The 25,983-nt window shown below is 54.5% G+C and overlaps 1 protein-coding gene and 1 long non-coding RNA gene across 6 annotated transcripts in view, besides 9 other annotated features; one reads left to right on the forward strand and one right to left on the reverse strand.

The window, feature by feature from the left end:
• FBXL19-AS1 (FBXL19 antisense RNA 1) lies at positions 1-3,951 on the reverse strand. Its single transcript, NR_024348.1, has one exon. It is a non-coding gene; the product is annotated as an FBXL19 antisense RNA 1 (long non-coding RNA).
• Positions 2,324-3,292: an enhancer, noted in NCBI's record as "H3K27ac hESC enhancer chr16:30932963-30933931 (GRCh37/hg19 assembly coordinates)". NCBI's record gives its function as "activates a minimal SCP1, AML or CMV promoter by ChIP-STARR-seq in naive H9 embryonic stem cells {active_cell/tissue: H9 hESC(naive)}" and the evidence as "EXISTENCE:reporter gene assay evidence [ECO:0000049][PMID:30033119]".
• Positions 2,324-4,260: a biological region, named in NCBI's record as "H3K27ac hESC enhancers GRCh37_chr16:30932963-30933931 and GRCh37_chr16:30933932-30934899".
• Positions 3,033-3,852: an enhancer, noted in NCBI's record as "active region_10737". NCBI's record gives its function as "activates an Ori minimal core promoter by ATAC-STARR-seq in GM12878 lymphoblastoid cells {active_cell/tissue: GM12878}" and the evidence as "EXISTENCE:reporter gene assay evidence [ECO:0000049][PMID:35858748]".
• Positions 3,293-4,260: an enhancer, noted in NCBI's record as "H3K27ac hESC enhancer chr16:30933932-30934899 (GRCh37/hg19 assembly coordinates)". NCBI's record gives its function as "activates a minimal SCP1, AML or CMV promoter by ChIP-STARR-seq in primed H9 embryonic stem cells {active_cell/tissue: H9 hESC(primed)}" and the evidence as "EXISTENCE:reporter gene assay evidence [ECO:0000049][PMID:30033119]".
• FBXL19 (F-box and leucine rich repeat protein 19) overlaps positions 3,533-25,983 on the forward strand; it is a 25,933-nt gene continuing 3,482 nt past the window's right edge. Inside the window, exons 1-9 of one of the 5 annotated variants that reach the window (NM_001382780.1) lie at positions 3,533-3,834; positions 6,413-6,613; positions 7,990-8,133; positions 8,255-8,341; positions 8,427-8,645; positions 9,149-9,181; positions 10,755-11,266; positions 22,798-22,961; positions 23,057-23,218. In NM_001382780.1, coding sequence (NP_001369709.1) covers positions 3,793-3,834; positions 6,413-6,613; positions 7,990-8,133; positions 8,255-8,341; positions 8,427-8,645; positions 9,149-9,181; positions 10,755-11,266; positions 22,798-22,961; positions 23,057-23,218 — 1,564 coding nt within the window. In that variant the 5' untranslated portion in view covers positions 3,533-3,792. Of the gene's footprint in view, positions 3,835-4,253; positions 5,142-5,256; positions 5,451-6,412; positions 6,614-7,989; positions 8,134-8,254; positions 8,342-8,426; positions 8,646-9,148; positions 9,313-10,754; positions 11,267-22,797; positions 22,962-23,056; positions 23,219-25,983 lie in introns of those variants that run through there. The other 4 variants (NM_001282351.1, NM_001382779.1, NM_001382781.1 and 1 more) reach the window with 4 other exon arrangements.
• Positions 3,883-3,972: an enhancer, noted in NCBI's record as "active region_10738". NCBI's record gives its function as "activates an Ori minimal core promoter by ATAC-STARR-seq in GM12878 lymphoblastoid cells {active_cell/tissue: GM12878}" and the evidence as "EXISTENCE:reporter gene assay evidence [ECO:0000049][PMID:35858748]".
• Positions 4,013-4,172: an enhancer, noted in NCBI's record as "active region_10739". NCBI's record gives its function as "activates an Ori minimal core promoter by ATAC-STARR-seq in GM12878 lymphoblastoid cells {active_cell/tissue: GM12878}" and the evidence as "EXISTENCE:reporter gene assay evidence [ECO:0000049][PMID:35858748]".
• Positions 15,810-16,104: an enhancer, noted in NCBI's record as "tiled region #7559; K562 Activating non-DNase unmatched - State 25:Art". NCBI's record gives its function as "activates a minimal TATA promoter and a strong SV40 promoter by Sharpr-MPRA in K562 cells {active_cell/tissue: K562}" and the evidence as "EXISTENCE:reporter gene assay evidence [ECO:0000049][PMID:27701403]".
• Positions 22,692-22,821: a silencer, noted in NCBI's record as "silent region_7401". NCBI's record gives its function as "represses an Ori minimal core promoter by ATAC-STARR-seq in GM12878 lymphoblastoid cells {active_cell/tissue: GM12878}" and the evidence as "EXISTENCE:reporter gene assay evidence [ECO:0000049][PMID:35858748]".
• Positions 23,246-24,188: an enhancer, noted in NCBI's record as "NANOG-H3K27ac-H3K4me1 hESC enhancer chr16:30953885-30954827 (GRCh37/hg19 assembly coordinates)". NCBI's record gives its function as "activates a minimal SCP1, AML or CMV promoter by ChIP-STARR-seq in naive H9 embryonic stem cells {active_cell/tissue: H9 hESC(naive)}" and the evidence as "EXISTENCE:reporter gene assay evidence [ECO:0000049][PMID:30033119]".

A 25,983-nucleotide genomic window follows, 5' to 3' on the forward strand; every position in this document is an offset into this window, starting at 1 on the left:
GAGACTGAGTCTCGCTCTGTTGTCCAGGCTGGAGTGTAGTGGCATTGTCTTGGCTCACTGCAGCCTCTGCCTCCCAGGTTCAAGCAATTCTCATGCCTCAGGATCCTGAGTAGCTGGGACTACAGGTGCACGCCACCACGCCCAGCTAATTTTTGTATTTTTAATAGAGACGGGGTTTCACCATGTTTGCCAGGCTGGTCTTGAACTCCTGGCCTCAAGTGATCCAGCTGCCTTAGCCTCCCAAAGTGTTGGGATTACAGGCATGAGCCACCATGCCCGGCCTTTTCTTCTTCTATTTTTATTTTTTTAAATACAATCCACGGTCCTGGACTAGATTTCAGGACTTTTCAAGAGAAGCTGGAAATCCATTTTGCCTGAGAAATGTGTTGTTGTTGCTATGCCAAATTAAATGCACACATGACTGGATTTGTTGTTTCTGCATGTTGTAATAGTTCTGAGCATGAGTTCGGGAGTCTGGGGTTTGAATTTTGGCGGTACCACTCATCCATTCTGCATAATTGAGGGTCCCAGTTTCCTCGTCTCTAAAATGGAATTCTACCTCATAAGGTTGTGTGGGTTTTTTTTTTTTTGAGATAGAGTCTCGCTGTCGCCCAGGCAGCAGTGCAGTGCTGTGATCTTGGCTCACTGCAACCTCCGCCTTCCAGGTTCAAACAATTCTCTTTTCTCAGCCTCCTGAAGAGCTGGGACTACAGGTGCACACCACTACACCTGGCTAATTTTTCTATTTTTAGTAGAGATGGGGTTTCACCATATTGGTCAGGCTGGTCTCGAACTCCTGACCCCAGGTGACCCACCTGCCTTGGCCTCCCAAAGTGCTGAGATTACAGGCGTGAGCCACCATGCCCGGCCCTCAAGATTTTTATGAGGACCACATGAAATGCTGAAAGCACTTAGTAGTATGTCCAGGAGCAGGGTCTTGCTCTGTCATCTAGACTTGAATGCAGCGAGTGGCATCGTCATAGCTCACTGCAGGCTCAATCTCTCAGCCTCAAGCAATCCTTGCCCCTCAGCCTCCTAAGTAGCTGGGACTACACGTCCAGCTAATTTTTGTATTTTTGTAAAGATGGGGCCTCACTATGTTGCCTTGGCTGGTCTTGAACTCCTAGTTTCAAGTTATCCTCTCACCTTGGCCTCCCGAAGTGTTGGGATTATAGGCGTGAGCCACTGCAACTGGCCAGGACAGTGATTGATTGATTGATTGATTGGTTTGAGACAGAGTCTCACTCTGTCGTCCAGGATGGAGTGCAGTGGCACGATCTCAGCTCACTGTAACCTCCACCTCCCGGGTTCAAGCAATTCTGCTGCCTCAGCCTCTCGAGTAGGTGGGATTACAGGCACATTCCACCATGCCCGGCTAATTTTTGTATTTTTAGGAGAGACAGGGTTTCACCATACTGGCCATTGCTGGTCTCGAACTCTTGACTTCATGATCCGCCCGCCTAGGCCTCCCAAAGTGCTGGGATTGACAGTGGCATTTAAATAGAGACCTTTTAGAAAAGTGGGAAAGTAGAAAAATAAATAATAAATACATAAATAGAGACCTGTAAATGATGAACAGTGAACTTGGTGGAGAAGTGAGATGGGCATGGGGAGGATAGCCCTCAAGCAGAGGGAACAGGGTAGAAATCAATCATGCAACACCAAATTCAAGCAGTGAGGATAGAGGGGACAGCCAATCCTCTAGGGAGGGCTAAGGATTTCCTGACTGATAAAGCCTGAGCGGCAAAGAAGCCTCCTATCCAGCCTTGGGCAAGTCTCTGCCAAGCTGGGACTTCACACTACACTGGCCAGCCATTGACTTCCCTGATAGAAAAACCACAACCAACAAGTCCTCGCTGGGGCTGGTCTGCCAAACACAGAAGACAGAGGGAAGGGGAGGGGGCTGTCTTGGGGTCAGAAGTGAGCAGGTTTTCCAGGGGAGAAGGAAGATTGAGAAGAGGGGTATGGCTGCTGGCTCACACCTATAATCCCAACACTTAGGGAGGCCAAGGCGGGAGGCACACTTGTGGCCAGGAGTTCGAGACCAGCCTGGGCAACATAGCGAGACTTCGTCTGAACAAAAAAAAATTATAGTTTAAAAATTAGCTGGGTGTAGTGGCGCGTGCCTGAAGTCCCAGGTATTCACAAGGCTGAGGGAGGAGGATCGCTTAAGCCCAGGAGGTCGAGGCTGCAGCAAACTATGATCCTGCAACTGCACTCCAACCCAAGTGACAGAGCAAGACCTTAAAACACACACAAAAAAAACCAAAAAACGGCAGAAAGATGAGAAGCCGTTCCATTTGCATAGGCAGTTGAAGTGTCTAGGCAGAGGCCTCCAAGGCTGACTGGATATCAGGCAGGGGATGAGGCTGGACAGCCTGCAATGCCTCCAACTCCAGGTTGCGGAAATCGTGTTTGTAGTACCTCAGTCGAATGGAGATTGAGCGCCCCCTGGGAGCAGTGCTCGGTAACAGACGCTGGAGGACCCCGATGAGGAGGGGCGGGGGTCGGTTCAATCTGGGAGGAGCCTGCGGGTCAGTTTTCTTCTCACAGGAGCGAACTCTGTCCGGCATCATGGATTCCTGGGCTCCCAGAACGGCTGGGCTGGAAGGGACCTTAGAAAGGGATCTACCACCGCGTGCCCCGTGCCAGAGTTGGGCACTTTGGTGACAAGAACATTGGCTTGTTTAACACTCACAACTGTGCTTCGAGGTGGGGATCATTATCCCCATTGTCCCCATTTTGCAGATGAGAAAAAGCAAGGTTTGGTGGCTTCCCGGGGCGGGGCGGGGATTCGCTGTGACTCCAGGTCCTTTTCCCCGGAGCCCGCACGTCTTGTAAGACACTGATTCCCGGAGGTCTGAGGAGCAGGAATCGAGTGGGAGGTGCCCAGGCTTTCTAGGGAACAAGAGTGTGAATGCACTCTCGACGAGAACCACGCCCCCCTGTTCGACAAGACTGATTCCTGCTGCCTTCCTTTAAGGGCCCTCCCCTGAAACGCGAAGTCCTCGCCCCATGGAGAGGCGGACATTCTTTATTCCCGGATCGCCCGACGTTTTTCTCCCCCACCCGCACTGATCCCCACTGGTGACATAAATCCTTCCCCTCCACTCGCGAGTGAAAGCTTGGGACTACATTTCCCGCCAGGCTGTTCAGAAGCCGGTGGCGGAGAGAGGAGAAAAGAGTCTTTCCGTTTCCGTCGCCTCGCAATTTGGCGTGTCCGCCGGGATTCACATTTCAACAGCGACGTCCTTTCTCTGTTGGACTCGGCAAGGAACTACATTTCCCAGCAGGCACCGGCGCAGAGGTCGAGGGGCGAGGTCGCCATCTTTTTCGTAGTCCTCTCCCTCATTTCCGCAGGGAAGAGGCCAGACGCCTGGACTACACATCCCATGTCGCAGTCGCCCCGGCCCTGCAGCCGCCATCTTTGCCGGTGGCCCCGCCCCATCCCCTTCCATTGTCTCGACTTGAGATGATAGACGGGAGCCGGGAGACTGCAACTCCCGTCAGGCCGTGCGCCACTGGTGGGGGGGATTTCGAGACCACAGGCGGGCGAGGTGCCCAAGGTGGTGGAAAGCGGAGACCGGGAGAGGCTAGGTAGCCTGCCATCTTTACGGTAGTCTCCTCGTCCTCCTGGTTCCGCCATTCTTAAGGAACACTGGAAGGCTATAAAACTACTAATCCCATCGCACCTCGTAAGATCGACTACTAGTCAGGTGTATGTCCCTCTTCCGCCATCTTGCTTGTAGTCCTCTTTCCTTTTCACCTTTCCATTGTTCCTGACGAGTAGAAATGGCAGCGGGAAGGCAGCAGATGGACTGCGACTCCCGTCAGGTACCACACACGCGGAGGGTTGTGGACAGGAGGGCGTGTGAGTGCCTGGGAAGGAGGTCGGGTCGGGGGAGAAGGCCATCTTGTTTGTAGTCATCGTTCCCTCTCCTTCTCGATGTTCTGCAACTGGGAGCCTCGGGGCAACGGGACTCTAACTCCCGGCATCCTCGGCTCCCGGCTGGGCACGCCCTCCGCCGTCCTGTTTGTAGTTCCCGCTGTCCCCAGCGTCCTATTGTTCCCCCGTAGCATCAGTGGCCGCAGGACTACAACTCCCGTCGAGCCCTGCGTGCGTTCGTCCTGGAAAGTGGAGGTGGTGGAGGAAGGAGGGGGAAGGGGGCGGGGTTCCTCTGGGAGAAGGAGGGAGTAAAGAGGGGGAGGAGGAGGAGGAGGAGGGAAGGAGGAGGGAGGGGAGGGGAGGGGGGAAGAGAGGAGGAAGGAGGAAGGAGCTGAGGAGGGATGAGAGAGGCGGCCAGGGCCCCGGGCCGTAGCAGCGCGGGGCTGGGGGACCAGGGGGGCTGAGACACCCCAACTGCCCCCTTCCCCTTTCCCTCTCCCCCTCTATCCTTTCCTTCCACCCTCCCGCTTGAGGAGGGGGATTTATTCAAATTTTATTTAAATCCCTATCTCCCGAGGGTCGCGCGCTTGGGGGAGGGGGAGAGGTCGGGGGTGCGCGCGGGCTGGGGGGGGCGGGGCCGGAGCAGCTTCCTTCACCTCCCCCTCCGCTCGCCTCGCAGCCGTAGGGCAGGGGGTCGCAGTCCAGGGGCGGGCCCAGGGGAGGGGGGCAGGTTACAGCGACCCCCCCCTCCCCGGGAACCGGCGGTGGGCGGGCTTGAACCCCGGAAACGGTGGGGGGGGCCCAGGCCTGGCACTGGACCCCTGGGCAGTGGGGTCCGGGAAGGGGCCAGTTAAAGGGCCAGGGGCGCTGGGGAGAGGCGGGGCGGGGTGGGGGGAGGGGAGCTGGGACTCGGACCCGGGACTGAGTGGGCCCCGGGCAGAAGCTGAGCACCCTGCGCCCAAGGAGCCCCCGTTGGCCTGGGGGGGCTGAGGGACTGAGCCTCCCAGAGCAGGACCTCCCCCTGGAAGGGCCGCGCCGCAGCCCGTGGGAGGGCCTCGCCCCCGGCGCCCCCCATCTCCACTCGCCGCCGTCCCGGCCTCCGCCGGAGGGAGGGGCCGAGCGCCCTCGGGGGGCCGTGGACCCCGGCGTTCTGAGCGTTCCGCGCCCCGCGCCGCCCGGCCCCCCCGCCGCCGATGGCCGCCGACCCGCCGGGAGCTGCCGAGAAGGGAGAGATGGCTCCCGGGACACGTGTGAGGTGGGTTCATGCGGCTCCTCCTCACCCCCAGACCTGGGCAGCGCCCACTCCCATTCATCCTCAGCCCGGCCTCTCTCTACCTTCCCCGCCCCCAGCCTCACCCTCTCTCTACTCCAAACTCATCTCCAGCCCTCCTTCCTATGACCTCTCCACCCTGGGGAACTGGCCCTCCTTCCTAGACCCTGCTTCCCCTTGAAAGCCCCCACCCCCGCCTGCAGTCGCCGCCCTCCAGGCCCCTCCCCTGGAGCGCTGGAGGGCCCCTTAGCCCCATGGATGGGTATGAAAGTCCCCGGAAAGGGGGAATCTGGGGTAAGACTGACTGGGAAGAGACCCTCCAGGCTTCTAATTCCACATGGGATCTTGGAGGATCTGGTTTCCATGGGAGGGGGAGCCCAAGGGATTCTAGATGATTAGGGATGAAAGCAGCCCGGGAAGCTGGGGGTCCTAGGACTGAGCCCATCCTCAGTTCTGGGAAGATGTCAGGCTGGATTCTAGAATCCCAAGGAATTTGGGAGATTGCCCAGGTGGACCTGAGGGATCCAAGAGGAGGGTGTCCTGGAGGAGGGAACCCTGTGGGGAACAAGAGGGGCTGAGATCTTGGGCTGAGAAGGGTCTCTGAAGAAGCATCTCCAGGGCTGTCAGAGCTCTGGGGAGTTAGTGGGCAGAGGAGATCGTTAGGGACTTGGGGGCAAGGATCTCGCTGGATCTGGTGAGGATAACTGGGTTGAGGGGAAGAGAGATTGGATGGCTGCTGTGGATGAAAAGGTTGGTGGGGCGGGGGGGAGGAAAAGTCCGGAGCTTCCGTCTAGGAATCTCTGGGTATCTGGGAGGTGAATCTGGGCAGTTTACCCCAGATTGAGGTTGGGGAGAGCCTGGGATATTCTACACTCGGATAACAGGGGAAGAGTTGGGATCTCTCCAAGCTAACACCACGGACAAGGAGTGCCTGGCCTTTCCAAGGAGCTCCGGTGTGGGGATGGCAGAGGAGAGGGCCTCGGTGTCCCCTCCTGCTCCCTGGGCTAGGGAAGGGACCCTGAGGAGGCGGTAGAGGAGCGAGGCCAGGAAGCAGTTCTTGGGCTCCTCTTGAGCTGCTGCAGGGAGACAGGCCTTGAGTAGAGGATTGGCCCCCAGATACACAGAAGGGGGTGACCTCCTTGTCCCCCTGAGGAAGAGGGCAGGCTCTAGCTGCCTGTAGGTGGAGGGACCTGTCAGGGGTCTCCCAGGCCAGGGCCCCAGTGGGCCCATCTGACCCTGCCACCATCCACCTACAGCCCTCGGCGTTGCTGACGCCCCCAATGTCGTCGAGCAGCCGGGGGCCGGGGGCCGGAGCGCGCCGACGCCGAACCCGCTGCCGCCGCTGCCGGGCCTGTGTGCGAACTGAGTGCGGGGATTGCCACTTCTGCCGAGACATGAAGAAGTTCGGGGGGCCCGGGCGCATGAAGCAGTCGTGCCTGCTCCGGCAGTGCACTGCCGTGAGTTCTGCCCCCACCTTTGGGCTCTGCCCACCCTTCCCAATACCTTCTTGGAATGGCTGGTGACTGCCTCCCAGCCTGTACTGTGGAGTGGCTGTTTGTTCACTCGTTCATTTCTTCCCTTCATTCACTAGTTTGTGTCAGTATCCATTTTTGTCCTCAGCTCCAAGCTGGGGGCAGTGTCCAGGTGCACAGAAGGATCTGACCCAGTCCCCACTTTCAGGCTCTTCCCAGCTCTCAGAGTCACACCCCCGCAGAATGCCCAGCCCCTGCTCTATCACCCCCCAAGATGTCTCTGTGCAGGAGGGGGCCCATCCCCAGAGATGGCCCCCTTCCAACAGGTCTTGCCCTTCTCTGGCCTCTTCCTCACCCAGGGTGGTCTTGGATTTGAGGCTAAGCTCACCCTTTATGTGACCTTGAGCAAATCATGCTGAATGAACCTCAGGTTCCTTCTCTGTAAAATGTTTCCTTTGCTGAGTTGTAAAGATTAAACAATGGCATGGATGCGAGTGTGTCTACCACAAGGCCCAGCACACAGTAGGGATCGGGGAAGCATGGGTTTCCGCCCTGCCTTCCTCATCCTTTGAGCCTCCCTGGGCTCCAGAGCACGGCCCCTCCCCAGCAGCCGCGAGGAGCCAGCTGCATCCTGCGTCCCCCTCCCCACTCTGCCACCTCCCTCTCTTCCTCCTGCCACTCTTTCCTGGTTGGTCTCTTCACCCCTCAGCCCCTCACTTCTTTTCCTTTATCCCCCAACCCCTTGCCTCACTTTTCCTTCTCCCCCTACCTGCATCTTCCTTGATCCTGCCGCATCCTTGTTATGACTCAGTCCTACCACTGTCTTCCTCAAAGTCACACTGTCTGAGGCTGCCCCCACTTCCCCAAGACTAGTGGCTTCCCTAGTGTTCCCAGGGGGTCTTGCCAAAACCGGATTCATTGTGGGATTCAGAGCAACCCTTGGGCTGCTCATGGAGCGACCTTGGTATCACCCTAAGCTGTCTTCCCCACCCTCTGAGTGTTACTGTCCTCCTCTCCAAAGCCAGCTGTAATTTCAGGGTCCCACTGGCCCTGGGTCCAGCTATAACAGTCACAGGTGATAACAGCTACATATCAGTGTCTCTCGCGTATTATTTTGCTCTCCCAAGAGTCCTGCGAGGGAAAGATTCTTAGCCCCATTCTGCAGATGCAGAAACGGAGACTTAAGGAGGTTAAATCAGTTGCTTGAGGTCACACTCCCAAAAGGAGCAAACTCAGGATCAGACCCAGCTTGACCCGTGGGTGCTGCACCTCATCCGTCACCTGGCCAGGGTCCCTAGAAGGAAGGGTCTTTCCCCTGTTGTTAGCTTTCGGGGCCCCTGATGTCCCCTCTCCCCCAACAGCCCGTGCTCCCACACACAGCTGTGTGCCTCTTGTGTGGGGAGGCTGGGAAGGAGGACACGGTGGAGGGAGAGGAAGAGAAATTTGGTTTGAGCCTCATGGAGTGTACAATCTGCAACGAGATCGTCCACCCCGGCTGCCTGAAGGTGATGGCCCTGGGACCCCGGCGTCTGGGGTGGGGCAGATTGTCAGGGAGCAGAGAGTGGGGGATCACCCTGGCTCTGGGCTTCCTGGCCAACCCCCCACTCACTGCCCTCCTGCCTACAGATGGGGAAGGCTGAGGGTGTCATCAATGCAGAGATCCCCAACTGCTGGGAGTGCCCTCGCTGCACCCAGGAAGGCCGCACCAGCAAGGTAGGGGCTGGGCTGGGCTGAGCTGTGGGTAGGTGGGTGTTGGGGAGCTGTGCAGGTCCTCACCCCCAGCTTCTGTCCCGCCTAGGATTCAGGTGAGGGGCCTGGCCGCCGTAGGGCCGACAACGGCGAGGAGGGCGCCAGCTTGGGGAGCGGATGGAAGCTGACAGAGGAGCCACCGCTTCCACCGCCCCCGCCCAGGCGCAAGGGCCCCCTGCCTGCCGGGCCCCCCCCGGAGGACGTGCCTGGGCCCCCCAAACGAAAGGAAAGGGAGGCAGGGAATGAGCCTCCCACCCCAAGGAAAAAGGTGAGCCACGGAGCACGCTCACTAGGCTTGTCCTGAGGAATTCTGGGAGCTGTAGTCCTGGCTGGTTCTGTGGGGCTGTGTGGGCCTGGGAGCGTGCTCTGTGGGTTCCCCAAGGACTGTTGGGAGATGTAGTTCAGGAGTTGGGTGGGGGGAGGATAGAGCATGCTCAGTGTGGAGGAGGGGGGGGACAGGTGAGGTGAGCTGGCACTGCAGGAAGCTTTGGGAGCCCTGGGTGGGTTAGGGAGGCAGGAGAGAGCATGCTCAGATCATCCCTGCATGAGAGGAGGGAGGGGCTGGAGAGGGCCTGAGGGGAGGAAAGAGGAGATGGAGCATGCTCAGTGGGCTAGGACGCTGGGTGCAAGGTGAGCATGCTCAGAGTTATCCCTGGGACGGGGGCTTCTGGGACTTGTAGTCTAAGAGGAGGGCATGGACCTTAGATTTCTGGCCCATGAGGGCCTAATGGGGTCTCTCCCTTCCTCCATATCTCCCTCTCACCCTGGTAGGTGAAAGGAGGCCGAGAGAGGCACCTGAAGAAGGTGGGTGGAGACGCCTGCCTCCTCCGAGGATCGGACCCAGGCGGCCCGGGCCTGCTGCCCCCCAGGGTTCTGAATCCGAGCCAGGCTTTCTCATCCTGCCACCCTGGGCTCCCTCCCGAGAACTGGGAGGTGTGCCGGGGACCTCCTCCCTCCCCTTCCCACCTTCCCTTGCCCCACCCTTCACCCTGGAGCCCAAGACCTGTCCCTTCCTGCTCACCTTGTTCTGCCCCAGCCCCACTTGGCCACGGTGGGTGTCCGGACACCTGGGATGAGTTGGGTGGGAGGGTGGGTTGAGTCCAGGCCACAGGAGCCCCTGACTTCCCAAAAACCCTTAGGGCTCATCTGACCTACTTGCCTCATCTTTCCAAGCCTTACAGGGGAGAGAACTGAGTTCAAATTTCTGTCCGACCGTTTACTCTTTGTATGATCCTAGCAGCTTGTCAGCCACCCTGAGCCTTAGTTTCTTTATCCATGTAGTGGAGATGCTGCTGCCTGCCTTGCCCCCTTATCCCGCAGAAGTGTATAAGTCTTACGAGGTTCTGAAAGGCAATGAGCTTTGTAAGCTATAAAATTTACCCAGATTGAAGGGAAATAAGGCCCAGAGAGGTTTGAAGACTTGTCCAAGTCACACAGTAAAGCCAGAATTGAGGTATTACTTGGCACGGACACTCAACACAGGAGTCCGCCTGATTGGGTCCAAATCCTGCCTCTGCTGTTTGTCAGTTTGTAACCTTGGACAAGTCACTTTGTGCCTTTAAGCCTCGGTTTCCTCATGTCTGAAAAGAGTGGCCCAGGTCACCACTGTGTTAGAATACTGTGAGGATGGAATGAGTCAGCCGATGCGGGGTGCTGCTCGTGGGGCCAATCACTGTTACCCTCAGTTGATAGACAGACGCCTGCTCCAGCTGGTCCGTGTAGTGGATGATGAAGCAGGGGCTTCCCACAGCCATCCAGAGTTGAGGGCAAGCCAGGATTCAAAGCAGGGTCTCTCATTTCTCCATTCCCTACTGCTTTTGGAACTGCCTAAGCCATGCAAACCCATAAGGGCTGGAAATTATTTTATTTTATTTTATTTTTGAGACAGAGTCTCGCTCTGTCGCCCGTACTGGAGTGCAGTGGCGTGATCTCGGCCCGCTGAAACCTCCACCTCCCAGGTTGAAGCAATTCTGCCTCAGCCTCCCGAGTAGCTGGGACTACAGGCTTGTGCCACCATGCCCAGTTTATTTTTGTATTTTTAGTAGAGACAGGGTTTCACTATGTTGGCCAGGATGGTCTCGATCTCTTGACCTCGTGATCCTCCCGCCTCGGCCTCCCAGAGTGCTGGGATTACAGGCGTGAGCCACTGCGCCCGGCTGGAAATTATTTTAATTAGCACTCTTCTGTTACCAATAAGAAAACTGAGGCCCAGGGCCTGGCAGTGGCTTTAGCAAGGTCTCTCACTGTCCGGAGCAGAGCCAGGGCTGGAACTCAGGACTGTCCCTCGGGCTGTTCATCCCCTGGTGACTCCTCGGGGTAGGGGGGTGGGAAAATGTATCCCAGGCCCTAGAACAGCATCAACCCTGTCTCCCTGCAGAAACCAAAGCCGCCTTTGGCCTCTGCAGAGGGCCCAGCGGTGCCGTCCCCGTCCCCGCAGAGGGAGAAGCTAGAGCGTTTCAAGCGGATGTGCCAGCTGCTGGAACGGGTGCCTGACACCTCCTCTTCCTCCTCGGACTCAGACTCCGACTCCGACTCTTCGGGCACATCGCTGAGTGAGGACGAAGCCCCCGGCGAGGCCCGGAATGGGCGACGGCCAGCCCGGGGCAGCTCTGGCGAGAAGGAGAACCGTGGGGGGCGGCGGGCTGTGCGCCCTGGCAGTGGGGGGCCCCTACTCAGCTGGCCCCTGGGCCCAGCCCCACCACCCCGGCCTCCACAGCTGGAGCGGCACGTGGTGCGGCCCCCGCCTCGAAGCCCTGAGCCCGACACACTCCCCTTGGCTGCTGGATCCGACCACCCCCTGCCCCGGGCCGCCTGGCTTCGCGTCTTCCAGCACCTCGGGCCGCGGGAGCTGTGTATCTGCATGCGAGTCTGCCGAACTTGGAGCCGCTGGTGAGTGGCCTGGACAGGCCTGCGTTCCGTGGCCAGCAGGCTTCCCGCTTGCTGGGTGACCTGCGGTAGGTCTCTGGCCCTCTCTGGGCCTTGCTTTTATATTGGGGATACTTCTCTAGTATGCACAGATTACAGTGCATCCTTCCGTATTTCCCGTGTGCAGGCTACTTTCCACTTATGGGCTCATTTAACCCCCTAGACAACTTTGAGGTAGAGGTTATTTTCCCCTTTTTCAGATGAAGCTGAGGCCCAAGGTCATGTGGAAGAGAAGTGGTGGTAGAACTAGGCATTGGAACCTAGGCCCTTTGGCTCCAGTGCCTTTCCTCCTAATAGTAGCGACTATATTGAGTGTCTAGTGTGTGTCAGCCATAGCACTGAGTGCTGTACTGCATTGTCACTTCTCATACTGCCACTTCCGAAAACAGTCTGACGATTGGTTCCATTCACTTAGGAGAACGCCATGTGCTGGGCTGCCCCTGCCCTCGAAAGACAGCCAGGCTTGAACCTCCTGACTCGGTTCCTGCTTTCCTTCTGCCCTGGAGCCACCACTAATGCCCTCTGCCCATCCCCCAGCCCCCCAGCCTCTATTAGAAATGTCGGTCATCCTCCCGAGCCTCTTGTCTTCCTCTCTGATCTCGCCCCCAACAAAATTCCTCCTCCTCTCTATGAAACTCCCACAGCACTCTGTTCCCCTCATAGAGCAAGCAGAGGCCTTCGGCGTGTTGACAAGCCTTCATTCATTTACTCATTTCATGTTCCCATCAGTTGCTGGGGTGGGAGCAGATAACTGTGTCTGTTTTATCTTCACGTCCCTAGCACGGGACAAAGGGCGGTATAAGTGCCCAAGAAATGTTGCAGTAAACGAGGCTATCAGGCTCTTTCCCAGGGACTCGCTGTGGCTGGGACCAGGCTCCCTGTTGGGCACTGCACCAAGGTTAGCTGATTTGACCTTCATAATGGCAGCCCTGTGAGAGAAAAGGGATACCTGAAGTTACAGTACAAGTTCATGGCTGAACTCAAACTCTAGTCTTCTTTTGGGACCAAGTCTGGGCCACTGGTGCCTTCTGGTATCTGCAGAGATTGTGCAGCCAAAAGTACCAGAGTGCAGGCTCTGGAGGCAAATTGCCTGTGACAGAATCTTTTTATTTTTATTTTTTTTTAAGACGGAGCCTCACTCTGTGGCCCAGGTTAGAGTGCAGTGGCATGATCTTGGCTGATTGCAACCTCTGCCTCCCGGGTTCAAGCGATTCCCCTGCCTCGGCCTCCTGAGTAACTGGGATTATAGGCACCCACCACCACACCCGGCTAATTTTTTTTTTTTTTTTTTTGTAATTTTAGTAGAGACAGGGTATCACCATGTTGGCCAGGCTGGTCTTGAACTCCTGACCTGAAGCGATCCGCCCGCCTCAGCCTCCCAAAGTGCTGGGATTACAGGCATGAGCTACCGGTTATGGTTATAGCTGAAGAGCTATAAACCATTAGGCCAGTCACTTAACTTCCTGTGCCTCGGTTTCTTCATCTGAAAAACCAGATAATCAACGCTCTTGCATAGTGTTTTCTTGAGCTAATACACATGAAGAACTGAGCACAGTACCTGGGAAATAGGAACTACTTGAAAGAGCTCTCATTGTAGCCAGTATTTACTTAGTTGCAAATAGTTGCTGAACGCACAGCCTGTCAGGCCTCAGAATGTAGATCTGTGCCCTTGAAGAGCATATAGTTAAGCTGCAACATAGAAGCAGATAGTTACAGAAGTTGCAGGGGATGACACCTGCCTCATGTACTAATCAAGGAAATGTTTGCTGAGGCCCCTTCAAGGCCAGCTCTGTGCCTGGCATGTGGGAGCCAGAACTGAAAGGGACCTGATTTCTGCTTCAACGGGAGACGTGTGGCCCGAAGCAGACAAAGCGAGAGGCAATGGCTCCCAGTGTGGGCCCTGGACTCTGCATCCTTGAGTTTCACTGGCTGCGTGGCCATGTGTGGAGAGCGATACCTCTTGAGGCCCTGGTTTTCTCATCTGTAGTCTGGGTTTGTATGAATACTCACCTTTTGGGGATTAAGTGAAGTGATTCCTACAAAGCCCGCAGCACAGTGCCTGGAGGGTACTAAACACTCAATCAGATGGCACCTCCCAATGAAAAGGACACGAGCCGGGCAGAGCAGGGGCCTGTGGGGGCACAGCAGGACCACTCAGGAGGCTCTGCGAGGTCTGGGCACAGAAGCAGGGGTAGTGGGGAGAGATTTGCAATGATAACTTTTTTTTTTTTTTTTTTTTTGACAGAGCCTTGCTCTGTCACCCAGGCTGAAGTGCAGTGGCATGCTCTCGGCTCACTGCAACCTCCACCTTCCACGTTCAAGTGATTCTCCTGTCTCAGCCTCCCAGGTAGCTGGGACTACAAGCACCCACCACCATGCCTGGCTAATTTTTTTTTTTGAGATGGAGTCTTGCTCTGTCACCCAGGCTGGAGTGCCTTGGCGCAATCTCAGCTCACCACAACCTCCACCTCCCAGGTTCAAGCGATTCTCCTGCCTCAGCCTCCTGAGTAGCTGGGACTACAGGCATACGGTACCACGCCTGCCTAATTTTTGCACTTTTTTAGAAGAGACAGGGTTTCACCATGTTGGTCAGGCTGGTCTCGAACTCCTGACCTCAGGTGATTCGCCTGCCTCAGCCTCCCAAAGTGCTGAGATTACAGGCATGAGCCACTGCGCCTGGCCTAATTTTTGTATTTTTAGTAGAGACGGGGTTTTGCCATATTGGTCAGGCTGGTCTCAAACTCCTGACCTCAGGTGATTCACCCACCTTGGCCTCCCAAAGTGCTTGGATTACAGGTGTGAGCCACCTTGCCAGGCCTTATTTTTGTTTGTTTTGTTTTTCTTTTTTAGAGAGGGTCTCTCTCTGTTGCCCAGGCTGGAGTACAGTGGTGCAGTCATAGCTCATTGCAGCTTCAACCTCCTGGGCTCAAGCAATCCTCCTGCCTCAGCCTCCTGAGTAGCTGGGATTGCAGGCACATGCCACTGTGCCTGGCCAATTTTTAAAACTTTTTTGCAGGAACCAGGGGCTCGCTGTTACCCAGGCTGGTCTTGAACTTCTGGCCTCAAGTGATCCTTCCACCTTGGCCTCCTAAAGTGTTGGGATTACAGGTGTGAGCCACTGCGCCCGGCCAAGAACTTTTTTTTTTTTTGAGATGTAGTTTAGCTCTTGTTGCCCAGGCTGGAGTGCAATGGCATGATCTCGGCTCGCCACAACCTCCACCTCCTGGGTTCAATCAGTTCTCCTGCCTCAGCCTCCCGAGTAGCTGGGATTACAGACATGCGCCACTATGCCTGGCTAATTTTGTATTTTTAGTAAAAACGGGGGTTTCTCCATGTTGGTCAGGCTGGTCTCGAACTCCTGACCTCAGGTGATCCACCCGCCTCGGCCTCCCAAAGTGCTGGGATTACAAGCATGAGCCACCACGCCCGGTGTAAGGACTTTTTAAGAAGTGGAATGGCTTGGGCCAGGCATGATGGCTCATACTTGTAATCACAGCACTTCGGGAGCCCAAGACGGGCGGATCACTTGTCAGGAGTTCGAGACCAGCCTCGCCAACATGGTGAGACCCTGTCTCTACTAGAAATACAAAAAATTTAGCCAGGCATGGTGGCATACATCTGTAGTTCAGCTACTTGGGAGACTGGGACAGGAGAATCGCTTGAACCTGGGAAGTGGAGGTGCAGTGGGCCGAGATCACACCATAGCTCTCCAGCCTGGGCAGGAAGAGTGAAACTCCATCTCAAAAAAAAAAAATGGCCGGGCACGGTGGCTCACGCCTGTAATCCCAGCACTTTGGAAGGCCGAGGCAGGCGAATCACCTGAGGTCAGGAGTTTGAGACCAGCCTGGCCAACATGGTGAAACCCTGTCTCTGCTAAAAATACAAAAATTAGCTGGGCATGGTGGTGGGCGCCTGTAATTCCAGCTACTCGGGAGTCTGAGCCAGGAGAATCGCTTGAACCCGGGAGGCGGAGGTTGCAGTGAGCCAAGATTGAGCCACTGCACTCCAGCCTGGCCAACAGAGCAAGACCCTGTCTCAAAAAAAAAAATGTGGAATGGCTTGGACTTGACTAACTGGCAGTGGGGACAGCAGGGTAACCCTCAGGTGAGTTTCTGACCCAGGAGCCTGGATGGGCAACAGCATCATTCCCCAGGCTCAGGAGGAGCAGTTTCCAGGAAGGTAAAGAGCTCAGATGACTGACGTGTGTGGTGTGCTCAGGACGTGTGGGTCTGATGCTCAGGAGAAAGATACACGTTTGGGAGTTCTCAGCCTGTAGGTAGCAAGCCAAGCAGCTTTGATGAAGAGGGCAAAAGATCATACATCAGTACTTGTGAGTTAGAGCAAGAGCCTAGCCAGATAATTGGAGGAGCTCATGGCCAGAGGTGTGCCCCCGAGTAGAGAACGAGGCAGGAGGGAATGTGGTAAGCCAAGGAGGATGCTGGTGAGAGGCCGTGGGAGATCAAGGACCAGGAAGTGGTGGTTGGATTTTGCTACCAGGAGGCCTTAGTGTCCTCAGCTGTGCTCTGGGGGTTGGGGGTCCAAAGCCAGATTGAATGGAGTCGAGAACATCAGCTTCCAGGCAGGGACTTGATTCGTTTGTTCCTGTTGTGTTCCTGGTGTCTAATGGCACCTGGCGGACAGTGGGCAGTGAGATCATCTTCGCTGAATGAGTGAAGGACAAGAGAGCAGGATGCAGTGTGGAAGGATGTACAGAGGGTGGCGCTGGAGAGGCGTGTGTAGGGGACAGCAGGAGGCTGCAGGCTTTCCTGTCTGGTGGCTTCCATCTTTTCTTGGAACTGAAAGGGAAGTGATCCCTTAAGAGTGAAGAGTGAAGAGTGGAGAGAGGGCAGCAGGGAAGGCGTGCAGGGGTTATTGAGATGCAAGGAAGAGGGTTGGGGCTTTTGAGGACATGGACAGAGAGAAGGCAGCAAGGAAGGGACTGGAATACAAGGTGATCATGGTCGGGTAGGGTCTGGAGGTGGACAGATTGGAGGGCAGTGGTAGCATCGGGGCCCAGAGAGCTACAAGAGGTCGGAACTGGCAGTGCTTGGAGCCCTAGGGGCCGTGAGCCTTCAGAGGGCAGTAAGGGCTGGTCCAGCTCCCTGTTCCCGGGGGCTTCTGCAAGAGGGAGGGTTAGGATTGGAATTGAGGGTTTGCAGGTCGGCCTAGTAGGAGAGGACTCATTGCGGGGTGGCTGGAGTCCAGGAGGAAGTGAATGGGTTAGGGGACTTTGGCATCAAGCCACATGTCTCTGGGACGACGGCACACCTTGGCTCTTAGAGCTTTCCCTGCCTCTTGTCTCAGTGTCATTCTCCAGCTTAGAAAGAACCCACCTGTGGCTCCCTGTCGCCCTCACAACAGACGCCCACCATCGCAGTCCTGTTGGACATATGGACATGAACTGGGCCTACCGACTGCACCAACCACTTCCCTGAGCTGTGTCCCTTCCTTGTCACAGCAACCTCTGAAGGAAGCGCTGTTCTTCACCCCACTGTACAGTTTGGGAAATGGAAGCCCACACAGGGCGAGTGACTTGCCTGAGGCCCCCCAAAGCCTGGAGGTGGCAGAGCTGGGATTTAGATCCCCATAGCTCACATCCTCAGCTCTGGGCTCTGTGACCATGATAGTCTATGGCCTGGCATTCCAGCCCTCCTTGACATGACACCCATCCCTCCTTTGCAGCTCCACTCTTGCCTCTTCTCTCCTCAGAATTCAGGCTTTCCACCCAGACGGGCTAGGTGGAACCCCGCCTCTACTACCTACCACTTGGTAGTTGTGGGACCTTGAATACATTTCTCAACCTTTCTGGGCCTCATTTTTTTTTTTTTTTTTGAGACGGAGTCTCACTCTGTCACCCAGGCTGGCGACAATCTCGGCTCACTGCAAGCTCCGCCTCCCGGATTCACGCCATTCTCCTGCCTCAGCCTCCTGAGTAACTGGGACTACAGGTGCCTGCCACCACGCCTGGCTAATTTTTTTTCTTTTTTTTTTTTTTTTTTTGTTTTTTAGTAGAGACGGGGTTTCACCATGTTAGCCAGGATGGTCTCGACCTCCTGACCTCATGATCCACCTGCCTCAGCCTCCCAAAGTGCTGGGATTACAGGCGTGAGCCAGCGCGCCCGACCTTTTTTTTTTTTTTTGAGGCAGAGTCTGACTCTGTTACCCAGGCTGGAGTGGAATGCTGTGGTCTCGGCTCACTGCAACCTCTGCCTCCTGGGTTCAAGTGATTCTCCTGCCTCAGCCTCCTGAGTAGCTGGGACTGCAGGCGCGTGCCACCACACCCAGCTAATTTTTGTATTTTTAGTAGAGACGAGGTTTCACTATGTTGGCCAGGCTGGTCTTGAACTCCTGACCTCGTGATCCGCCCTCCTTGGCCTCCCAAAGTGCTGGGATTAACAGGCGTGAGCCACCGCACACGCTTGCCTCATTTTCTTTACTGTAGAAAGGAGATGATGATGGTAATGTTGACCTCCTAGGGCTGGCGTGAGGTTCAGTGCTTAATGCATGGGACAGTGCCTGGCACACAGTGAACCCTGGATGATGGCTGGTTAGTAGTGCTGAAGTCACTGTGATCAGCGTGACTCTGGTTATGATGATGAGTTCCTGTGGCCTGGGGTTTCCAGAGCTCTCCGTCTTGTCTCTTGTGGGCCTGGACACAGGTTCTTGCCCATCTGGAACACACACCCTCCTCCCCCTCCCCTTGCTGAAATAACTACTGCTTTCCTCGGAGTCTCAGGTCAGGCATTGTCCCCCCAGGAGGCTCCCCCACCCAGTCCTTGAGGTGACTCTTACCATGCCCCTTGTCACCTCAGTTACTGCGGACTGTCCATGTCTCCCTGACTGTATGGCAGGAACCTGTCATCTTTGCCTCCTCCGTGCCCAGTGGAAGCCAGATACTTGGGATCAGTAGGGCCCTCAGTGACTGTTGGTTGTCCCTCTGAGGTTTAACCCCAGTGTCCTGGTTGTACAAGAGCAGGGGGACTGATGAGCTGTAGCCAAGGAAGGTGTGGGAGACTTCCTGGAAGAGGAGGCACTGGAGCCGAGCCACGAAGGCTCTGGGTTGGCATTTCTGGCAGAGGCACAGCATGTGCCACAACGTGTTGGCATCAGACAGCACTGTGTCTATAGGTGGGCAGGTGTGTGGCCTGGCTGTTGTGGAGTATGATACAGAAACACAACTGGGGTCCTGTGGGTGCCCCCAGGGAAAGGGGCTTCCTTCCAGCTGTGGACCGTGGAAGGGAAGTGGCTTCAAGGAAGTGGTGACAGTTAAGCTGGGAGGCAGTCGTGGCAGGGTCACAGTGGGCAGAGAGAGGTTTTGGATAGAGCAGATGTCACCGATTTTCTTGCTCACAGAAAGAGCAAAGGGGCAGGACCTAGGGGTAGAAGCTGGGTCGGGCATGAGTTGGTTTTTTTCCTTTTCATGTTTTGAATTGGAGAGATTTGCAGATGTTTATTAGTTGAGAGGAAGGAATCAGGAGAGGGAGAGGCTAGAATGCCAGAAAAGCAGGATGAGGGTAGGAGGGAACAGGAGAGCGAGTGGCAGAGGGGTGAAGGTGTTCGGACTGAAGCCTTGGTGTCTGTGCCCTCAGCCTTCTCTAAAACGTCACACCAGGGCTGGGCCCAGTGGCTCACGCCTGTAATCCCAGCACTTTGGGAGGCTGAGGCAGGAGAATTGCTTGAGCCCAGGGGTTCAAGACAAGCTTGGGCAACATAGTGAGACCCCCATCTCTATTAAAAAAGAAAAAATTAGCTAAGCATACCTGTGGTCCCAGCCACATGGGAGGCTGAGGCAAGGGGATCACTTGAGCCCAGGAGTTTGAGGCTGCAGTGAGCTATGATTGCATCACTGAGCTCTAGCCTGGGCGACAGTGAGACTTTGTCTGAAAAAAATAATGAAATGACACACTGGGCCTCTGGAGTAGGTCTGGCATTTTTCAGTGACACAAAAATATGGCTTAATCCCTCTGTGAGTTTTGGAAAGGAAGTCTTTCCATTGGAAGGAAGTCTCTCCATCGGGTGCTTTTTTTCTTTTTTGAGATGGAGTCTTGCTCTGTCGCCCAGGCTGGAGTGCAGTGGTGCAGTCTCGGCTCACTGCCAGCTCCGCCTCCTGGGTTCACGCCATTCTCCTGCCTCAGCCTCCTGAGTAGCTGGGACTACAGGCGCCTGCCACCACGCCCGGCTAATCTTTTGTATTTTTAGCAGATACGAGGTTTCACCGTATTAGCCAGGATGGTCTCCATCTCCTGATCTCGTGATCCGCCTGCCTCGGCCTCCCAAAGTGCTGGGATTACAGGCGTGAGCCACTGCGCCTGGCCACTATTGGGTGCTTTTTCTAACACTTCTCTGATACTTATCTCCCTGTTTAACAAAAGTAGTCTTCAGGTAGTAGCCTAAAGCCACAGCAACACCTGGCTAGGATTTAATAACTCTGGTCTTTTTTGTGTTTTATTTATTTATTTATTTATTTTTGAGACAGAGTCTCGCTCTGTCACCCAGGCTGGAGTGCAGTGGCGCAATCTCGGCTTACTGCAAGCTCCGCCTCCCAGGTTCATGCCATTCTCCTGCCTTAGCCTCCCAAGTAGCTGGGACTACAGGTGCCCGCCACCACGCCCGGCTAATTTTTTGTATTTTTAGTAGAGATGGGGTTTCACCGTGTTAGCCAGGATGGTCTCAATCTCCTGACCTCGTGATCTGTCCACCTTGGCCTCCCAAAGTGCTGGGATTACACCACACTTGGACTTTTGTGTTTATTTTTAAGATTAACATATTTATGTGAAACAATACTGGGGTTTTTTTTTTTGTTTTTTTTTTGAGACGGAGTCTCGCTCTGTCGCCCAGGCTGGAGTGCAGTGGCACGATCTCGGCTCACTGCAAGCTCCACCTCCCAGATTCACGCCATTCTCCTGCCTCAGCCTCCCGAGTATCTGGGACTACAGGCGCCCTCCACCACGCCCAGCTAATTTTTTGTATTTTTTTTTTAGTAGAGACGGGGTTTCACTGTGTTAGCCTGGATGGTCTTGATCTCCTGACCTAGTGATCCACCCACCTCGGCCTCCCAAAGTGCTGGGATTACACGCATGAGCCACCGCGCCCGGCAACAATACTGGTTTTAAGTGCAAAGAGGAGATGATTCAAAGATAAATCATGTTACGCAGATAAGTGAACAGCAAATACTGGAGCTTGGGAATCACTGCCCCAGCCCAGGGCTTCTACAAGGAAAAGCCTTTCAGAGTCATGAGGGCAGGGAGGGAGGCAAGAGAAAGCTTCCCTTGGGAGGCCAAGGGAAGGATCGCTTGAGCTCAGGAGTTCAAAACCAGCCTGGACAACCTTGTCTCTACTAAAAATAAAAAAATAGGCCAGGCACAGTGGCTCACGCCTGTAATCCCAGCACTATGGGAGGCCAAAGTGGGCAGATCACCTGAGGTCAGGATTTCGAGACCAGCCTGGCCAACATGGAGAAACCCTATCTCTACTAAAAATACAAAAAATTAGCCGGGCGTGGTGGCGCATGCCTGTAATCCCAGCTACTCTGGAGGCTGAGGCGGGAGAATCGCTTGAACTTGGGAGATGGTGGTTTCAGTGAGCCAAGATCACACCATTGCACTCCAGCCTGGGCAACAAGAGCGAAACTCTGTCTCAAAAAAAAAAAAAAAGTCAGGTGTGGTGGCATGTGCCTGTAGTCCCAGCTACTCAGGAGGCTGAGGTAGGAGGATGGCTTGAGCCCAGGAGTTTAAGGTTGCAGTGAGCTGTGATCGCAGTACTGCACCCCAGCCTGGGTGACTAAGCAAGACACTGTCTCAAGAAAAAAAAAAAAAAGCTTCCTGGGCCTGCTGCTTCTGACACAGTCTATTGAGTCTCAGAGGCATTTCTGGACATGCCTTTGAGAACTACTGAACTCAGAGAAGAGAGTTCTCAAACTGAGTCCAAAGGAACTTCAGTGTACTACAAAATGTTACTAGATTACCTTGGGAGAGGTGGGGAAGGATTCCTGGGGAAGTACGTTTGAGAGGCCCTTCTCCAGTTCACTGCATGTTTTTTGTTTGTTTGTTTGTTTGTTTGTTTTTGAGATGGAGTCTCTCACTGTTGCCCCAGCTGGTGTGCAGTGGTGCGATCTCGGCTCGCTGCAATCTCCGCCTCCCGGGTTCAAGTAATTCTCCTGCCTCAGCCTCCCGAGTAGCTAGGATTACAGGCGCCCGCCACCATGCCCAGCTAATTTTTTGTACTTTTAGTAGAGACAGGGTTTCACTAGTAGAACAGCCAGGCTGTTCTCGAATTCCTGACCTCATGATCCACCCACCTCGGCCTCCCAAAGTGCTGGGATTACAGGTGTGAGCCACTGCACCCAGCCCACTGCATGTTAGATAGTCTGTTGAGGCCTGTGGAGTGCTCGGGTTAGGAAACCTGTTTAATGTTGCTTAGGACTCGTTCATCTTTGTAGCTTCAATACTTGGGACCTATAACGCTTTCTATAATCAGAGTGAATAAATGAAATGCTGTAGATGAGGAGGTGGGGGAGAGTGGTCAGTGGAAGCTTTAAGTAGTTACTAGCTTGATTCATTCATTACAAATGGGCAGCTGGGTGCAGTAGCTCATGCCTGTAATCCCAGTGTTTTGGGAGGCCAAGGCAGGAGGATCGCTTGAGGCCAGGAGATCAAGACCAGCCTAGGCAACATAGTGAGACCCTGTCTCTACAAAAAAATTGTTTAAAAATTAGCCAGGCGTGGTGACATGTGCCTGTGGTCCCAGCTACTCAGGAGGCTGAGGTGGGAGGATTGCTTGAGCCCAGTAGGTTGAGGCTGCGGTGAGCCTGAGTCCAGCCTGGGTTACAGAGTGAGACCCTGTCTCAAAAAAAATTTTTTTTCAAAAAGTGGAAAACGCAAATCTGCCCTTGTGGAATTTACATTGTAGTTGGAGGAACACAGTAATGTAATAGGGAAGATATTAGGGCTGTAAGTCCAGCTGCGGGCAGCTGGCTGTCAAGATGGGACAGGTGTGGATCAGAAGCAGAGATGAGTAAAGGAGGCAAGGACCCATGAGCACCAGAACTCAGTCAGGAATCAAGAAGCCCAAGGGTGGCTGGAGACGACTGGATAACACCAGTCCCCTTGGCATGACATCAGGCAGCATGCGTGGCATTTGTGTATGTGTTGGGCAGCACACTTTCTATGCTGGGAGGCCCACAGCTGGGATGAGCCCATGTGACCTGACAGCTGCCCTGTGGGCAGGCAGAGTGGGGGGGCTATTGCCTTCAATCATAAACGAGGCTTCTGAGGCTCAGGGAGAGGAACAGACTTGCCCAGGGTCTCATTTCCAGTTAGTGATGGAGTTGGGTTCCAATCCCAGTGCTCTTGGCTGAGGTCAGGTGCTTCTTGCTACCCTGTTGTCTGTGTGGCCAGAAGAGAGCTGGGGTGCACCCTTGGAGCTGGGGAGCCTGGGAACTGTGGGCTGCTGAGAGCTGAGGGCTGAGGTCTCTGTCTCCCCCCTATGGCCGCCAGGTGCTATGACAAGCGTCTGTGGCCTCGAATGGACCTGAGCCGGCGGAAGTCACTGACCCCGCCCATGCTCAGTGGTGTGGTTCGCCGCCAGCCCCGTGCCCTGGACCTCAGCTGGACAGGTGTCTCCAAGAAGCAGCTCATGTGGCTTCTGAACCGACTACAAGGTAGGGTGTGTGGTACGGAGGACAGGGTGGGGACAGGGACAGGCCTGGGATGGAGTCCTCACAGCACCTGCTTCCTGACTGCCCCCTCTCCGCAGGCCTGCAGGAGCTGGTGCTCTCTGGCTGCTCCTGGCTCTCTGTCTCTGCCCTGGGCTCAGCCCCACTGCCAGCCCTGCGGCTCCTGGACCTCCGCTGGATCGAGGATGTTAAAGACTCCCAGCTCCGGGAGTTGCTGCTGCCTCCACCAGACACCAAACCAGGTGCAACCTCTGTTTGCTTTTCTGGAGAATGGGCTGGGCAAGGGTAGGGTAGGAGGCCTCTCAGGTCTCTTCTGACTCATGCTGGATGGTAAAGTATTTGAAGAAAGGAAAGAATACATGAGTTTGAATAGGAAGGCCCTGGTTGGGCATTATTCATTCATTCACCCACCTGCTGTGTACTTTGAACTGAGTCTTGAAAGGAACAGGGTTTTCCCAGGGAGTGTGAGACTCAGCAGTTTGGTGGGGCAGGAGGCCCATATTGGCAGAGGGGGATGCTGGGAGCAGAGGCCATCTCTCTTCATCTACTTAAATCTCATCATCCTTTAGGCCTGGGTATAAATGCCACTTCCTCCAAGAAGCTCTCCCTGATCCCACCCCACATTGAGCTCAGAGTCCCTCTCAGCTTTGAGAGCAGCCCGCCAGCATAATACTGGGCAATTGTGGAGTGCCTTGATGCACATCTGTGCCCTCCTGCCAGGGTCTCCAGCTCCCTGAGGGCAAGCGCTGGCTGGTCCCCCAGCACGTTCTCAGTGGCTGCTCCATAGATAGCTGTTGAATGAATAACTTGAATGAGCAATCAGGATGGGAGAGGTCTAGTTTGAGGAAAGATTTTCAAAAGGAGATTTGCAGTCCCCTGAAATAAGATAATCCTTTTGTTTGTTTTTGTTTTTTGAGACCATCTGGCTCTGTCACCCAGACTGGAGTGCAGTGGCAAGATCTCGGCTTACTGCAACTTATGCCTCCTGGGTTCAAGTGATCCTCCCCACCTCAGCCTCCTGAGTAGCTGGGCCTACAGGCGTGTGCCACCACGCCTGGCTAATTTTTTTGTAATTTTTTTTTTTTTTTTTTTTTTTTTGAGGTGAAGTCTTGCTCTGTCGCCCAGGCTGGAGTGCAGTGGTGCTATCTCGGATCACTGCAAGCTCCACCTCCCGGGTTCACGCCATTCTCCTGCCTCAGCCTCCCAAGTAGCTGGGACTACAGGCGCCCGCCACCACGCCTGGCTAATTTTTTGTATTTTTAGTAGAGACGGGGTTTCACTGTGTTAGCCAGGATGGTCTTGATCTCCTGACCTCATGATCCGCCTGCCTCGGCCTCCCAAAGTGCTGGGATTACAGGTGTTAGCCACCGCACCCGGCCTGTAATTCTTATAGAAACAGGGTTTCATCATGTTGTCCAGGCCGATCTCGAACTCCTTGTCTCAAGTGATCTGCCCACCTCTGCCTTCCAAAGTGTTGGGATTATAGGCGTGAGCCACCACACCTGGCCAAAAGAATCTTTTCTTTTGGAGTTCTTTCACCCCTCTCTTTCATAGTTCCCTTCTTCCCACCATGCCCCCTCCACAACAGCCCTGAAAGGGGAGAATAGAGAAGCAACTAAGATTCTTCCCGTATTCTAGATGAGGCACTGGAGGCCCAGAGGGATTGACTGCTGCAGGTCACCCAGTCAGGCCAGAGCACTCAGCCATTGTCCACTCTTACCAGAATTGGACTGAGTTGGAGAGCTATGGGTGGGGGGTAAGGTGGGCATTGGGAATGGTGCATCCTGGGAGGTGAGAAAGTGCTGGCTGGTCCATTTCCTCCTGCTGGAATTCAGTTCAGTTCAGCCCTTTATCAGGAGCTCAGGAAGGTGGGCCTTTTTTTTTTTTTTTTTTTTTTTTTTTAGTTTTTAAATTTTTTTTTTAACTTTTAAGTTCATGGGTATATGTGCAGGTTTGTTAAATGGGTAAACTTGTGTCATGGGGGTTTGTTGTACCGATTATTTCATCACCCAGGTATTAAGTCTATTTACCATTAGTTATTTCTCCTGATCCTCTCCCTCCTCCCTCTGAAAGGCTCCAGGGTGTGTTGTTCCCATGGATGTGTCCATGTGTTCTCATCATTTAGCTCCCATTTCTAAGTGAGAACATGCAATTTCTGTTCCTGCATTAGTTTGCTAAGGATAATGGCCTCCAGCTCCTTCCATGTTCCTGTAAAGGACATGATCTTGTTCTTTTTTATGGCTGCATAGTATTCCATGGTGTATATGTACCACATTTTCTTTATTCATTCTTTCATTGATGGGCATTGAGGTTGATTCCATGGCTTTTACTATTGTGAACAGTGCCATACACCTTCAAACTCTTGCCCAGCTTAAATGCCACCACCTCAGTGAAATCCTCACTGATGCCTACTCCTCCCTGCCCAAGCCAGAAGTGACTTCTCTTTCCTCTGCTTTCCTCTATGGGCCTTTCCTCCTTGTGCCTTTAGCTGTGGCCCAAGGTTGAGGGCATCTGTAAAGGTATCCCCTCTCCAGGCGCTTGGCTCCTCAAAGACAGGAGGAGGGGTTAAAATTTAGGGCTTGCAAAGTCAAGTGCCCATAGAGTTGGCCTGGGAGGTAACAGAAGTGATGCATTGGTGTAGGACATTAGGGAGTGGCACCTAGCCACCCAGCTCCCCTCAGTCATCATCTGGTGGGAAGGAGTGCCTAGTGAGGCCACATCTTACGATTCTTCAAGGAAAAGCTCAGTATGTAAATTTATTTATAAAAATGTCCTTTTTGTAGTGTTAGTCATTAAGGAAGTTTTTAGCATTCTGTAGACTCCATAAAACATGTTTGGAGGGCAGCCTCATGGTTTGTGCCATCTGATCTATTAATAGTTTATCTTAGGGATAGGCTGGTGCCTGGGAGGCAGACAACACTGTGGTAAGAGTTCAGATTCAGCATCACCAGGCCTGGGTTTCCTGGCTGTAAACAGGAATGATGATCAGAGATCTTGTCTCCCAAGG

This window comes from Homo sapiens, chromosome 16, assembly GCF_000001405.40.
Source record: "Homo sapiens chromosome 16, GRCh38.p14 Primary Assembly".
NCBI lineage: Eukaryota > Metazoa > Chordata > Mammalia > Primates > Hominidae > Homo > Homo sapiens.